Source organism: Homo sapiens, chromosome 8, assembly GCF_000001405.40.
Source record: "Homo sapiens chromosome 8, GRCh38.p14 Primary Assembly".
NCBI lineage: Eukaryota > Metazoa > Chordata > Mammalia > Primates > Hominidae > Homo > Homo sapiens.
This window is the reverse complement of record NC_000008.11, coordinates 10,600,492-10,615,502: the sequence shown is the minus strand read 5'-3', so window position 1 is coordinate 10,615,502 and position 15,011 is coordinate 10,600,492. Positions and strand designations below refer to the sequence as shown.

Genomic DNA, 15,011 nt, shown 5'->3' with positions numbered 1-15,011 from the left:
GTGTGCCTGGCGTTGCATCCTTTCAGGGTCACGATGGTCTCAGGCAACAGTGGTGGCCTGCATGGGGGTCAAAGGGACTAAAACTAACCATGACCACAGATTATCCATCCATCCATACAACCAACCATATATCCAGCCAAAGAGCCACAGTCTGGACTATGTTATTTTTTTAAAACTACACACACTTATTTTTAAAAGCACAATTAACAAATGCAGTCTGATGATGGAAAAATTTGGCGAGTAAACAAAGTACTATCCTTTGTGAAAAGCTCAGAAACACCAACAAGCACAGGCTCAGTGATCACTGTAGGTCAGGTGCTGGAGGCCCAAGGGACAGGCTCGGTGATCACTGTGGGTCAGGCACTGGAGGCACAAGGACAGTTTACTCTGGGTCCCTCCCTGGAGGAGTGTCCAGTCTCATTTGGTCCCTGTGGAGGGCCAGGACTGGGCAAAGCCATCTTCTGCCCAGATGTGCACCTGGGGTTCTTTTGCTGGCCATATGCTCAGCCTCTGCTAGCCCTACCCTTTTGCCACATGTTGGCTCAGGAGATGGAATTTGTTTTTATTTATTTATTTTTATTATACTTTAAGTTTTAGGGTACATGTGCACAACATGCAGGTTTGTTACATATGTATACATGTGCCATGTTGGTGTGCTGCACCCATTAACTCGTCATTTACATTAGGTATATCTCCTAATGCTATCCCTTCCCCCTCCCCCCAGGAGATGGAATTTGAAAGCCCTTGGGGGCTTCATTCATTTGTTCTTTCTTTCTTTTTTTTTTCCTTCCTTCCTTCCTTCCCTCCTTTCTTTTTTCTTTTCTTTTTTTTTTTTTTTTTTGACGACAGAATCTTACCCTGTCACCCAGGCTGGAGTGCAGTGATGCGATCTAGGCTCACTGCAACCTCCGCCTCTCGGGTTCAAGTGATTTTTGTGCCTCAGCCTCCCGAGTGGCTGGGATTACAGTCTCCCACAACCACGCCCAGCTATTTTTTTGTGCTTTTAGTAGAGATGGGGTTTCCCCATGTTGGCCAGGCTGGTCTTGAACTCCTGACCTCAGGTGATCCGCCTGCCTCGGCCTCCCAAAGTGTTGGGATTACAGGCGTGAGCTATCACGCCTGGCTCATTCTTTCTTAGAGCCACTCCTTTGCATCCTTAGCAGCCCTTTCTTCTCTTCTTCATGGCTGGGGTGCAGGCTTGACTAGCAGGACCTGAGATGGTTCGCCCAGGTCCTTCCCTGCAGCCATTTATCAACCAGGAGCTTGATGAGGCTTAGGGTGATAAATCACCACTAATAATCACAGAGAATATAACAGTTTACAGTCAGGGTCATATGCAGCAGTTTATTGATTTCACCTGCTGTGCTGGGTGTGGGCATGAGGAGGGCCAGGAGCAAGATCTGGGCACTGCCACTCTGCCTGCCAAGTCTGCCATCTCTCGAGAGCCTACTATGTGCTAGCAACTATAAAGGAAGTTTTATATGCACAGCCATGCATCAATACGAACCGAACCAATCAATATTATTATGCTTATTTTACGGTTCAGAAAACAGGCTCTGCCAAAAACTACGCAGCTAGTAAGCAGCAGAGTTGAGATTGAATTCAGACTGAAGTTCTCCTTGTTAGACAATGCCAGTTCACAGACTGGTAGCTCTGTGGATGGTCATTCTAGAATAGCTCTGCCCTTATCATGCTTTTTTTTTTCTTTTCTTTTTTTAATGGTCTTGCTCTGTCATCCAGGCTGGAGCGCAGTGGTGCATAGCTCACTGCAGCCTCCAACTCTGGGACTCAGGGGATTCTCCTGCCTCAGCCTTCCGAGTAGCTAGGAAGCTGGGACTGTAGGGGCATACTACCATGCTTAGGTAATTATTTCTTTACTTTTTTTTTTTTTTTTTTTTTTTTGGAGAGATGGTGTCTCACTAAGTTGTCCAGGCTGGTCTTGAAACCCTGAGCTCAAGCAGTCCTCCCGCCTCGGCCTCCCAAAGTGCTTGGATTACAGGCCTGAGCCACCGCGCACAGCTGTCACCGTGCATTTTGGAGGCAGTGGTGATGCTGAGGTCGTGGGAGGCTCGTGACTGTTTTATTCCTTTATCCTGATGCTGCCCCCATGGCTCACAGTCTTTTCTTCTTTTCTTTTCCTCTTCACTGCGTGCCAGGGAGCTGGGGGCCAAAGACCAAGCCGAGTGTGATCCATTCGCGGTCTCCGCCAGGCAGCACGCCACGGCTGCCAGAAAGGCCTGGTCCTAGCAACCCCCCGGTGGGCCCTGCTCCTGGCAGGCACCCTCAGGACACGCCAGCTCAGTCGGGCCCGCTGGTGGCTGGCGATGACATGAAGAAGAAGGTCCGCATGAATGAGGACGGCAGCCTGTCCGTGGAGATGAAAGTCCGCTTCCACCTGGTCGGCGAGGACACGCTCCTATGGTCCCGGAGGATGGGCAGGGCCAGCGCCCTCACGGCAGCCAGTGGGGAAGACCCCGTTCTGGGGGAGGTAGACCCCCTCTGCTGTGTGTGGGAGGGCTACCCTTGGGGCTTCTCAGAGCCTGGGGTGTGGGGACCCCGGCCCTGCAGGGTGGGATGCAGGGAAGTCTTTGGCCGAGGCGGGCAGCCAGGGCCCAAGTATGAAATCTGGACGAATCCCCTGCATGCCTCCCAGGGAGAGAGAGTGGCAGCTCGGAAGAGGTGGGGACTGGCCCAGCACGTCCGCTGCAGTGGCCTGTGGGGCCACGGGACTGCCGGGAGGGAGAGATGCAGCCAGGACAGTGCCAGCCCAGCCTCCAGCACCGGCCTCCCCGAGGGCTCGGAGCCAGAGTCCTCCTGCTGCCCCAGGACCCCGGAGGACGGGGTGGACAGTGCCAGCCCCTCTGCCCAGATAGGGGCTGAGCGGAAAGCTGGAGGGAGCCTGGGTGAGGACCCCGGCCTATGCATAGATGGAGCAGGGCTGGGCGGCCCAGAGCAAGGCGGCCGCCTGACACCGAGGGCCCGGAGTGAGGAGGGGGCTTCTTCGGACTCGTCAGCCAGCACCGGCTCTCATGAGGGATCCAGCGAATGGGGTGGGCGGCCCCAGGGCTGTCCAGGCAAGGCAAGGGCCGAGACCTCTCAGCAGGAGGCCAGCGAGGGAGGCGACCCCGCTTCTCCAGCCCTGAGTCTTTCATCTTTAAGGAGTGACGACCTGCAGGCAGAGACGCAAGGACAGGGCACCGAGCAGGCCACGGGAGCGGCTGTGACAAGGGAGCCTCTGGTTCTGGGCCTTTCCTGCTCCTGGGACTCGGAAGGAGCCTCTTCCACCCCTTCCACCTGCACTTCATCCCAGCAGGGGCAGAGAAGGCACAGAAGCCGGGCCAGTGCAATGTCCTCACCCAGCAGCCCTGGCCTTGGCCGAGTGGCCCCGAGAGGCCATCCCAGGCATTCTCACTACCGCAAGGACACCCACAGCCCACTGGACTCCTCTGTAACCAAGCAAGTGCCGAGGCCTCCTGAGCGGCGAAGGGCCTGCCAGGATGGCTCAGTGCCACGATATTCTGGAAGCTCATCGAGCACCAGGACACAGGCCTCTGGGAACCTGAGACCTCCCTCCTCGGGCTCTCTTCCTTCCCAGGACCTTCTGGGAACCAGCAGTGCCACTGTCACCCCTGCAGTCCACTCGGATTTTGTTTCTGGAGTCTCCCCGCACAACGCTCCCTCTGCCGGGTGGGCAGGGGACGCGGGGTCCAGGACATGCTCGCCGGCCCCCATACCTCCCCACACATCCGACTCCTGCTCAAAATCTGGGGCTGCCAGCCTGGGGGAAGAGGCCAGGGACACGCCTCAGCCCTCCTCACCCTTGGTTCTGCAGGTTGGACGGCCTGAGCAAGGGGCGGTGGGCCCCCACCGAAGCCACTGCTGCTCACAGCCTGGGACGCAGCCGGCCCAAGAGGCCCAGCGGGGACCCTCCCCTGAGGCTAGCTGGCTGTGTGGCAGGTACTGTCCCACCCCGCCCAGGGGGCGGCCCTGCCCCCAGAGGCGCTCTTCCAGCTGTGGGAGCACCGGCAGCAGCCACCAAAGCACTGCCCGGGGGCCAGGTGGGAGCCCGCAGGAGGGGACACGCCAGCCAGGCCCCACGCCGTCCCCAGGCCCCAATTCAGGGGCATCAAGGAGAAGCAGTGCCAGCCAGGGTGCGGGGTCTCGGGGGCTGTCCGAGGAGAAGACCTTGAGGAGTGGGGGAGGCCCCCAGGGGCAGGAGGAGGCCAGTGGTGTGTCACCCAGCTCTCTGCCCCGCTCGTCTCCAGAGGCTGTGGTCCGCGAATGGCTGGACAACATTCCAGAAGAGCCCATACTCATGACATATGAGTTGGCGGACGAGACCACAGGTGCAGCTGGGGGTGGCCTGAGAGGCCCCGAGGTGGACCCTGGGGATGACCATTCTCTGGAAGGCCTGGGGGAGCCAGCTCAGGCGGGACAGCAGTCCCTGGAAGGGGACCCCGGCCAGGACCCAGAGCCAGAGGGAGCCCTCCTGGGGAGTAGTGACACTGGTCCCCAATCAGGAGAGGGTGTCCCCCAAGGGGCAGCTCCAGAGGGAGTTTCCGAGGCCCCTGCAGAGGCCGGAGCAGACAGAGAGGCCCCAGCAGGCTGCAGGGTGAGCCTGCGGGCACTTCCTGGCCGGGTGTCTGCCTCCACGCAGATCATGAGGGCGCTGATGGGCTCCAAGCAGGGCCGGCCCAGCAGCGTGCCCGAAGTGTCTAGGCCCATGGCCAGGAGGCTCAGCTGCTCAGCCGGGGCCCTCATTACTTGTCTGGCCAGTCTGCAGTTATTTGAGGAAGACCTTGGGTCTCCTGCCAGCAAAGTGAGGTTCAAAGACTCCCCTCGGTACCAGGAGCTGCTCAGCATCTCGAAGGACCTGTGGCCAGGATGTGACGTTGGGGAAGACCAGCTGGACTCAGGCCTCTGGGAGCTCACATGGAGCCAGGCTCTGCCAGACCTTGGGTCCCATGCCATGACGGAGAACTTCACGCCCACATCCTCCTCTGGTGTGGACATCAGCAGCGGCTCTGGAGGCTCAGGGGAGAGTAGCGTACCCTGTGCCATGGACGGCACCCTGGTGACACAGGGGACAGAGCTGCCCCTGAAAACCTCCAACCAGAGGCCTGATTCAAGAACTTATGAGAGCCCAGGGGATCTGGAAAACCAACAGCAGTGTTGTTTCCCAACCTTCTTGAACGCCCGAGCCTGCGCTTGTGCCACCAATGAGGATGAAGCAGAAAGAGACAGTGAGGAGCAGAGGGCGAGCTCGAACCTGGAGCAGTTAGCTGAAAACACAGTGCAAGAAGAGGTGCAATTAGAGGAAACTAAAGAAGGAACAGAAGGAGAAGGGCTGCAAGAAGAGGCGGTGCAGTTAGAGGAAACTAAAACAGAAGAAGGGCTGCAAGAAGAGGGGGTGCAGTTAGAGGAAACTAAAGAAACAGAAGGAGAAGGACAGCAAGAAGAAGAGGCGCAGTTAGAGGAAATTGAAGAAACAGGAGGAGAAGGGCTGCAAGAAGAGGGGGTGCAGTTAGAGGAAGTTAAAGAAGGGCCAGAAGGAGGACTGCAAGGAGAGGCTCTTGAAGAGGGTCTCAAAGAGGAAGGACTTCCAGAAGAAGGAAGCGTCCACGGGCAGGAATTGTCAGAGGCCAGCTCTCCGGATGGGAAAGGCTCCCAGGAAGATGACCCAGTCCAGGAGGAGGAAGCAGGAAGAGCCTCTGCCTCTGCAGAGCCGTGCCCCGCAGAGGGCACAGAGGAACCCACAGAGCCCCCTAGTCATCTCAGCGAGACGGACCCAAGTGCCAGCGAGAGGCAGAGTGGCTCCCAGCTTGAGCCTGGTTTGGAAAAGCCGCCCGGAGCCACCATGATGGGCCAAGAGCACACGCAGGCCCAACCCACCCAGGGGGCTGCAGAGAGGAGCTCTTCGGTGGCCTGCAGCGCGGCTCTGGACTGCGACCCCATCTGGGTGTCCGTGTTACTGAAGAAGACGGAGAAGGCCTTCCTGGCCCACCTTGCCAGTGCGGTGGCTGAGCTCCGAGCACGCTGGGGCCTGCAGGACAATGATCTGCTGGACCAGATGGCGGCCGAGCTGCAGCAGGACGTGGCCCAACGCCTCCAGGACAGCACCAAGAGAGAGCTCCAGAAGCTCCAGGGCCGGGCGGGTAGGATGGTGCTGGAGCCTCCAAGGGAGGCCCTCACCGGGGAGCTGCTCCTGCAGACCCAGCAGCGCAGACACCGTCTCCGGGGCCTGCGAAACCTCTCGGCCTTCTCTGAGCGGACCCTGGGCCTGGGGCCCCTCTCCTTCACCCTGGAGGACGAGCCAGCCCTCAGCACAGCCCTGGGGAGCCAGCTGGGCGAGGAGGCGGAGGGGGAGGAGTTCTGTCCCTGCGAGGCCTGCGTGAGGAAGAAAGTGAGCCCTATGTCCCCCAAGGCCACAATGGGGGCAACCAGAGGTCCCATCAAAGAGGCCTTTGACCTGCAGCAGATTCTGCAGAGGAAGAGGGGAGAACACACTGATGGGGAGGCAGCAGAGGTGGCCCCTGGCAAGACCCACACGGACCCCACGAGCACTAGGACTGTCCAGGGAGCTGAGGGAGGGCTGGGGCCGGGGCTGAGCCAGGGGCCTGGAGTGGACGAGGGTGAGGATGGCGAGGGGAGCCAGAGACTCAACAGAGACAAAGATCCCAAACTCGGGGAGGCAGAGGGAGATGCAATGGCTCAGGAGAGAGAAGGGAAAACCCACAACAGTGAAACCAGTGCGGGCAGTGAGTTGGGGGAAGCTGAGCAGGAGGGAGAGGGCATAAGTGAAAGGGGAGAAACTGGGGGTCAAGGCTCTGGGCATGAGGACAACTTGCAGGGTGAAGCTGCGGCAGGAGGTGACCAAGATCCAGGACAGAGTGATGGGGCCGAAGGCATAGAGGCCCCGGAGGCTGAAGGGGAGGCCCAGCCAGAGTCAGAAGGTGTAGAGGCCCCAGAGGCAGAAGGGGATGCCCAGGAGGCTGAAGGGGAGGCCCAGCCAGAGTCAGAAGATGTAGAGGCCCCAGAGGCAGAAGGAGAGGCCCAGCCAGAGTCAGAAGATGTAGAGACCCCAGAGGCAGAATGGGAGGTCCAGCCAGAGTCAGAAGGTGCAGAAGCCCCGGAGGCAGAAAAGGAGGCCCAGCCAGAGACAGAAAGTGTAGAGGCCCTGGAGACTGAAGGGGAGGACGAGCCAGAGTCAGAAGGTGCAGAGGCCCAAGAGGCAGAAGAGGCGGCCCAGGAGGCAGAAGGGCAGACCCAGCCAGAGTCAGAAGTTATAGAGTCCCAGGAGGCAGAAGAGGAAGCCCAGCCAGAGTCAGAAGATGTAGAGGCCCTGGAGGTTGAAGTGGAGACCCAGGAGGCAGAAGGGGAGGCCCAGCCAGAGTCAGAAGATGTAGAGGCCCCAGAGGCTGAAGGGGAGATGCAAGAGGCAGAAGAGGAGGCCCAGCCAGAGTCAGACGGTGTAGAGGCCCAGCCAAAGTCAGAAGGTGAAGAGGCCCAGGAGGTTGAAGGGGAGACCCAGAAGACAGAAGGGGATGCCCAGCCAGAGTCAGACGGTGTAGAGGCCCCGGAGGCAGAAGAGGAGGCACAGGAGGCTGAAGGGGAGGTCCAGGAGGCAGAAGGGGAGGCCCACCCAGAGTCAGAAGATGTAGATGCCCAGGAGGCAGAAGGGGAGGCCCAGCCAGAATCAGAAGGTGTAGAGGCCCCAGAGGCAGAAGGGGAGGCCCAGAAGGCAGAAGGTATAGAGGCCCCAGAGACTGAAGGGGAGGCCCAGCCAGAGTCAGAAGGTATAGAGGCCCCAGAGGCTGAAGGGGAGGCCCAGCCTGAGTCAGAAGGTGTAGAGGCCCAGGATGCAGAAGGGGAGGCCCAGCCAGAGTCAGAAGGTATAGAGGCCCAGGAGGCTGAAGAGGAGGCCCAACCAGAGTTAGAAGGTGTAGAGGCCCCAGAGGCAGAAGGGGAGGCCCAGCCAGAGTCAGAAGGTATAGAGGCCCCAGAGGCAGAAGGGGAGGCCCAACCAGAGTTAGAAGGTGTAGAGGCCCCGGAGGCTGAAGAGGAGGCCCAGCCAGAGCCAGAAGGCGTAGAGACCCCGGAGGCTGAAGGGGAGGCCCAGCCAGAGTCAGAAGGAGAAACTCAAGGTGAGAAAAAGGGGAGCCCTCAGGTCAGTCTAGGAGATGGCCAATCTGAGGAGGCTTCTGAAAGCAGCAGCCCAGTCCCTGAGGACAGGCCCACTCCACCCCCTTCCCCAGGTGGAGACACTCCCCACCAAAGGCCAGGCTCCCAAACAGGCCCTTCCTCCTCCAGAGCATCCTCTTGGGGCAACTGCTGGCAGAAAGACTCAGAAAATGACCATGTACTTGGAGACACAAGGAGCCCTGATGCCAAGTCCACGGGGACCCCTCATGCAGAGAGGAAGGCCACCAGGATGTACCCAGAAAGTTCTACTTCTGAGCAAGAAGAGGCCCCTTTGGGCTCAAGGACTCCAGAGCAGGGGGCCAGTGAAGGTTATGACCTACAAGAGGACCAGGCACTCGGAAGTCTCGCCCCCACTGAGGCAGTGGGCAGGGCAGACGGCTTTGGCCAAGATGACTTAGATTTCTAGACAAGATCAAGCTAGAAAACAATCACGAGCTTGGGAGCTCTGTTTTTATTCATATTTTTTCTACAAAACTGAGCAACGTTCAGTCCACTGGAGATGTCCATAGTACATGGACAAAGACCAAGGACTTGCCAAGGACACAGCCCATGCCATGCTGTCCTGGGACTCTTAAGTCCAGAAGTGTCAGAGAGCTCTGCGGCCCGTCCCACACGCAGTGTGAAGAAAGGGGGTGTCTGCGGATCTGCCCGGTTATCGGAGGTCAGCCCGGCTCCTATTTATTTGTCTGCAGAGCCCGAAAGATGGAACTGATTGGAAAGGCTCCAGTTTAGCTTTTGTTTGTGGGTTTGTTTTCTGCTAGCAAGTGTTGCTCTCTGTCTTTTCCCTGTTGATCTCCTGTTACTTTTCTCCTTGGCTTCTGTTGGCACTCACCTCATTTGACTTTGAGGTGCTTTTTTTCTAGTCTTGAATATATTTGATGACTCTGCAGAAATACTTGGGCAAAGCAGGTAACTTCAGAGTCATTGGATAAAGTTTGTTCTCAACTCCAAAGTCCAAGTTGTTTTTTCTTAATTCATACATTTTGTAATGAAAAAATGGAAAATGCAGAAAAAAGCAGAGAGGAAGAAATAATCCTGTCACTCGGAGACTTCTGTTTGCAATTGAATGTATTTCCTTCTCCTCCTAACCATTTTACAGTTGAGATGATTCTTTATATATATATTTACATATGTTTTAAAAACTTAACAATGTAAAGATTTCCCCTATTTATCTCAGAATCATCATAAACCTATCTCTTAACATTATTCATAAACCTGAATAATGTGCCATTAACGAGTATATTGAATACTTTCTCATTTTCCTATTTTTGACCTTTTAGATGGTTTCCTTTATTTTGCTCTTAACACTTTTTTTTTTCTTGAACTTCTGATTAATTCCTTAGGATAGACTCCCAGACATGGAATTACCAGGCCAAAGGATATCAACATTTTTAAGGCTTTTGATATCCTGCAGCCAAACTGTTTTTTCTAAAGATCTGTACTCACGGTGAGAGTATGATCAGTGTTTGGTATTGTCATTAAAATTGAAAAATCATTTGCAAATTTCATTGGCAAAAAAATAGTATCTTATTTTAATGAGGTACTATCTTAGATATAAATTTGATAACTAATGAAATTAAAATTTTTTCTAGGTTTTAAAAAACTATTTGAATATAAATGATTTGTGCATGCTTTTGACCCATTTTTCTACTGAGATCCCACCTTTTTTTTTCTTTTAATGAATTGATTTGCCTGTGCCCTTTATAAATTTTTTTAAATTCTATTTCTCATTTGCAAGATTTTAAAAATGCCCTCTCTGCACACCCTTCAAAAGCAGGGCTTAGACTGAGCCACATGCAGGTAGAGAGCTCCTGGATGGGGTAGAATGTCTTTGACTGGTTCTCACTGGCTTTCCTGCATATACCAGAGCATTCATTTTGTGGCATCCAGATGTATTAAAATGGAGTCTGTGCTACAATGGCAGGTACTGCCCCTGGTTATCTAAATGTATCCACACAAAGCAAAGGTTGGGTATCTGTTGTCTGTACATGTCTGCAGTCTTCTGTCTACAAATGGAGATGTTATTTAAAAATTCTGACATGTGCCAGGCATAGTGGCTCACGGCTGTAATCCCAGCATTTTGGGAGGCCGAGGCAGGCAGATCACCTGAGGTCAGGAGTTCGAGACCAGCCTGGCCAACATGGTGAAACCCCATCTCTACTAAAAATACAAAAATTAGCAGGGCCTGGTGATGCATGCCTGTAATCCGAGCTACTCGGGAGGCTGAGGCAGGAGAATCACTTGAACCCAGGAGGCGGACGTTGCAGTGAGCCAAGATTGTGCCACTGCACTCCAGCCTGGGTGACAGAGTGATACTCTGTCTCAAAAAAAAAAGAAAATTGACATGTTTTAAAAATGTTCTGCAAAGGTGATTCCTTAAGGTGTTTACAATAAAAGCATAATTTTATATAAATGTAAACTATGATATATTTGGGGGGTAGTGTTTCTTCATATTGGATGAAGGGCTGGTGAAGAATTACACTCACAAGTCACATGTCAATCAGAACTGGCATCTTAGCTAGAAGCCCCCAGTGGAACAGATTGCACTGTGAGCTTGTTCTGGAAATGGTGACATGTAGAGGCGTGCAGCACTTGTCACCACTACTGGCTGGCATGAAGCATCCACCGGGCACCTCTTCTGTGATTTGAAGTCCCCATTCTTTCTCTGAGAGATGCTCCAACCCCTTTGTTTCACTCCCTGCCCCCCCACCCCCACCCCAATGCTAGTGACAGCCAGTCCTGTCACCTACTGACCTGGCACCTCATTAAAATGGCATTGTCCATCTCTAGTTAACAGCATGCAATGAAAAGAGCATGGGACCTGGAGCTGAGGGACCTGGAGCTGAAGGGCCTGGGCTGAAGTCCCAGTGACCCCCAACTCAGTTTCAGCATCTGCCAAATGGGCTAAATGATGTTTTCCTCACTGTAGTGTTGAGAAATAGATAATATGAAACTTTATTACACACATGGTGGGGATAGATGCATATTTTAATTATAACTGCTAAGTATTTAGTGCCTACAATGTGTCACGTATCATACTAGACTCTTGATATAAATGATCATTTGTGAGATTTAAACTTCTCAACATGTCTGTGAAATAGGCAAGTAGGTGTTCCATTTCACAAATGGAGAAACCGAGGCTTAGAAGAGAGACAGACTTGCCCAGACTCACACAGCTAGTTAGGAACAAAGCCAGGATTTAAACTCAGATATTTCAGACTCCAAAGTCCACATCTTCCATTGTATCATAATTTTTCTTTTTTGTTTTGATTTAGATCCTGTAAATAAACACCTTAGCTAGAGGTAGCCAACACCTTGTTGAATGACGTTACTGCAAGGTAGTGACTACTTAGGGGAGTAAATTAAATGGGATTTTTGGTTCAGCTGATTCCATTCTGCCTCCAGCAATGTTCTCCTTCTGTACAGATATCAGCAGCTGCAGATAACCTGGGTTTATAAAGCCGATCATTAAACTGAAAAGTTACCTGCATTAAAATGAAGTTATCTGCCCATGGGATTCTCCTTTTAGTTTGCAAACACACCCACCCCGTATGTCTGCAGTTTATATTTAAAAAATTTGTTAATGGACAACTCTGTGTTTCCTTCTGACCTGGAGATAAAGAATTTCAGGGCCATCGGCTGAGAGGATTTTTGTGTCTTCTCCTTGATTCCTTTCTCTACAGCACTCTTTCAGCATCTCTTAAAATGCTGGCATTCCTATAGCCTCAGCCTGCCCCAAATCAAAACCCATGTCATGTGTCACTCAGATGCTGACGAAGCAAACATAGTATCAGCATAATGTGAAAGCTTTTGGCCAGGGGAGTTTCTCCTTGAAGGGGAAGGGGAGGGAACCACGCCCTTTTCTCCTGTCTATTGTCCAGCTGGTGGGGATCAGAGACTCCAGTTGAAAAGGATCACCGTTTAGGGGTTAGAACGAAAGACCCATGTCCAGCCCCACACCTAGAGATGCCGACTTTATCAGTCTAGGGCAGGGCTTCAGCACAGTGCTCTTGGAGGGGTTTGAAGTTCAGTGGAGGTAGGTGACGGCTGATTCAGTCCAAAACACCACAGCTGTATGAGTGGCTGAGCCCAGACCAGATTCCAGGCCTTTCTCCATCTCTCACTCAATATCCCCCATCCTAGAACTAGGAGAGGCCCTGCAGAGAAACGCAGGCAGGCAGCAAAGCCACTCCCTTGTCATCCAGACCAGTTGTCCCCTCACCCACATGCCCCCATTCCTCTCCATTCAAACTCCCTGCGTCATTGGGGTCTCCACGCGAGGACAGGCTGTGTCTCCAGAAGGGCCCGTCTAGCCTGGCCAGGGGAGAAGGGGACCCATCCTTAATCTTATGAAGCGTTCAACATAAGTGCATGCTTGGAACCGGGAGGTTCCTGAGGTTTTCAAAGATCTCACAGGCCCGTGGGTTTTTTTCCTTCAGTTAAATGAACATGAAAACCACCTACGGGGCTTTAAGATGAACAGTTCCACTTATGAAATTCTGATCCAGTGTGTCCGAGGCCTAGGAATGTGCATTTCACCAAGCTCCCAGAGGAAAGCGGGCACAAACCCCCGCCGCCTGCCTGCATTCTACATCCGGGCCACCCTCCCACCAGGATGTGTGGTCCTCGGAGGGGCTGAGCACCTCTCACCAGCCCCGGCCCGAAAAACGCACACACGGACACGCACACACACACGCACACACAGACAGCTGCTTCCTTGCTCTCATTATGTAGTCTCCCCAAGGGACAGTGGGGGTCAGCCAGAGTCAAGCTCCCGCTCCGTCTTCCTCTCCGGAGAGGCAATTAGGGTGGATCCGGAGCCATCTCCCTCCTCTGACCCTCCTGCCCCCGTGTCCACAGGCACAGCTGGCAGTCCAGGCCCCCATCTATGGAGACGGGACTCAGCCCGCACAGACACACGCCTGGGCTGCAAAGGCGCCGGGGCTCGCTCCCTCTCACTAACCAAGTACCCCGAGCAGAGGGACCCTGGCTTGTTTCGTGACTTCCGCTGGATCCAGCCAGGACTGGCCTCCTGGGGTCATCGGCCTGGGGTCTGAACTGAGCCTCCAGATCCAGGCGGCGGGCGGCAGCCTCATAGCGCTCGTCTAGGGACCAGGTCTCCAACCTCCCATTGGTTCAACCCTCACCCTGAGAGGCTGACCGAGCCCACCTGTGCCCTCCTAGGTCCCACATTTTGAGACCTGGTTGGGGTGATCATGGCCCCAGGCACTCAGATTGTGGGTGAGGCCCCTGCAGCCCTGTGAGTGAGGAGCATACTCCCCTCCGGCCCTGCCCGCCTCCTCCATCACCTCTTTCTCTCCTCCCCTCTCCGCTCACCGCCCCCACCACCCGCTGGGCCCCAAATCACTGCTGGCTATGATCCTATTTTCCAAAGGCTGGAGTGTTCTCAGTCATCATGTCCCTAGACGGTGGTGGCCAGCACTCCTAAGACACTGATCCCAACTTGGTGACCATCTCTGGCCCTCTCTAGCCCATTTCTGGCACCTCGAATGGGGAACGTCGGCGTCTCCCTATCCTCCACTCACTGCCCGCCTCTGCCCTCAGCCCCCTGGGTGAGCCCATCCGTGCTCTGCTGTTCCTGCTCCTGCTTTTGAGCAGAGGACTCCCAAGTCCATGGCTCAGGCCCAGGATCTCTCTCAGCTCCCTTCACCACATTGCCTGGGAGCCACACACCCAGCAGAAGGCACCCTCTGTCCTCGTCCTCAGCCTGCTCTTGTCCCCATGGCTAGACCTGGCCCCCAGCCATCCCAGGCTTATCCATCCCCACCCCCAGCTCCCAGCCCTGAATCAACTAAAGCTGCCCCAGGCCCAGCAGTTCCTGCCTTCCCAACCCCTCCACCTGCCTCCTCAGGGTGTCCCCACATCTAGACTTGCCCACGCCACTCTGTCCTCACCACTTGCCACCACTTGCCTCTGGAAAAGAGAAAGCTCGCCATGCTGCTTCTGCCTGCAACTGCCCAAGGGCCTCTCACCACCCCCAGCCAGGGCCAGCCCCTCAGCCTGGGTTCTGCTTACCCCATTTCCCTACCTCCCTTCCTCCCCTCCTCCTCCTTCTCTCTCCTCCCGCCCCTCCCCTGTCCTAGCCTGCTGTCCCCTCCCTCTTCACCCATCTTCCTCTTGCCCCAGCATAGCAGCTCCCAGTGTCCAGGAAGCCACCACTCCAGCACCAGATGCCTGGGCCTGCAGGGCCTTTGCTCTAGGGAGTACTCCATGCCCGTCCTGGGCACAGCACCCACAGGCTCACACCAGCCTGGGCTAAAGGGCCTTTGCCCTGTGGAGCACCCAGCCCCTTCCTGGGCTCAGAGTGTGCCCACAGGCCCACACCACTGCCTTGGAGGTCAGGGCTGCCCACGGCCCCTCCTGCTGCCGGCCTGCTGACCGTGACCTGCACATCACAGATGCCTACCAAAAGCCTTATTGTTAATGACTTGGAAAAAAAAATGTATTTTTACTAAGATATTTTACTGAAGCTCAGGGACGAGGAGGAGGTTTCCTCCTGACTCCCTTTCCAAGGAGGGTGGCTCAGGTGCACCCTGCCCAGGCCCCGTCCTGGAGGCAGCACCGGGGAGGCGGAGGGCAGGCTCTGGGGTGCACCGAGGGGTTCCAGCCTGGCTGCACCAGGAGCTGCCGTTCACTGAATTGCCTACATCTGGAAAGGAGGAAATTAATAGTCCCCACCCCACTGAGGTGTTGAGATGCCTGAGACAAGGCTGCAAAGCCATCAGCCGCCCCTGGTCACCACGGAAGCTCCTTGTTGGCAAATGTCATCACTCTGTTCCTTTTTTTCT

The 15,011-nt window shown here is 54.9% G+C and overlaps 1 protein-coding gene across 1 annotated transcript in view, besides 3 other annotated features; it reads left to right on the top strand.

Moving 5' to 3' along the window:
* The window catches only part of RP1L1 (RP1 like 1), a 48,795-nt gene extending 39,641 nt beyond the window's left edge, over positions 1 to 9,154 (top strand). Inside the window, exon 4 of the mRNA NM_178857.6 lies at positions 2,157 to 9,154. Within this exon, the coding sequence (NP_849188.4) occupies positions 2,157 to 8,608 (6,452 nt within the window). The 3' untranslated portion in view covers positions 8,609 to 9,154. The remainder of the gene's footprint in view (positions 1 to 2,156) is intronic.
* Positions 2,443 to 3,168: an enhancer, noted in NCBI's record as "H3K27ac-H3K4me1 hESC enhancer chr8:10469845-10470570 (GRCh37/hg19 assembly coordinates)". NCBI's record gives its function as "activates a minimal SCP1, AML or CMV promoter by ChIP-STARR-seq in naive H9 embryonic stem cells {active_cell/tissue: H9 hESC(naive)}" and the evidence as "EXISTENCE:reporter gene assay evidence [ECO:0000049][PMID:30033119]".
* Positions 12,714 to 13,308: an enhancer, noted in NCBI's record as "H3K4me1 hESC enhancer chr8:10459705-10460299 (GRCh37/hg19 assembly coordinates)". NCBI's record gives its function as "activates a minimal SCP1, AML or CMV promoter by ChIP-STARR-seq in naive H9 embryonic stem cells {active_cell/tissue: H9 hESC(naive)}" and the evidence as "EXISTENCE:reporter gene assay evidence [ECO:0000049][PMID:30033119]".
* Positions 13,309 to 13,904: an enhancer, noted in NCBI's record as "H3K4me1 hESC enhancer chr8:10459109-10459704 (GRCh37/hg19 assembly coordinates)". NCBI's record gives its function as "activates a minimal SCP1, AML or CMV promoter by ChIP-STARR-seq in naive H9 embryonic stem cells {active_cell/tissue: H9 hESC(naive)}" and the evidence as "EXISTENCE:reporter gene assay evidence [ECO:0000049][PMID:30033119]".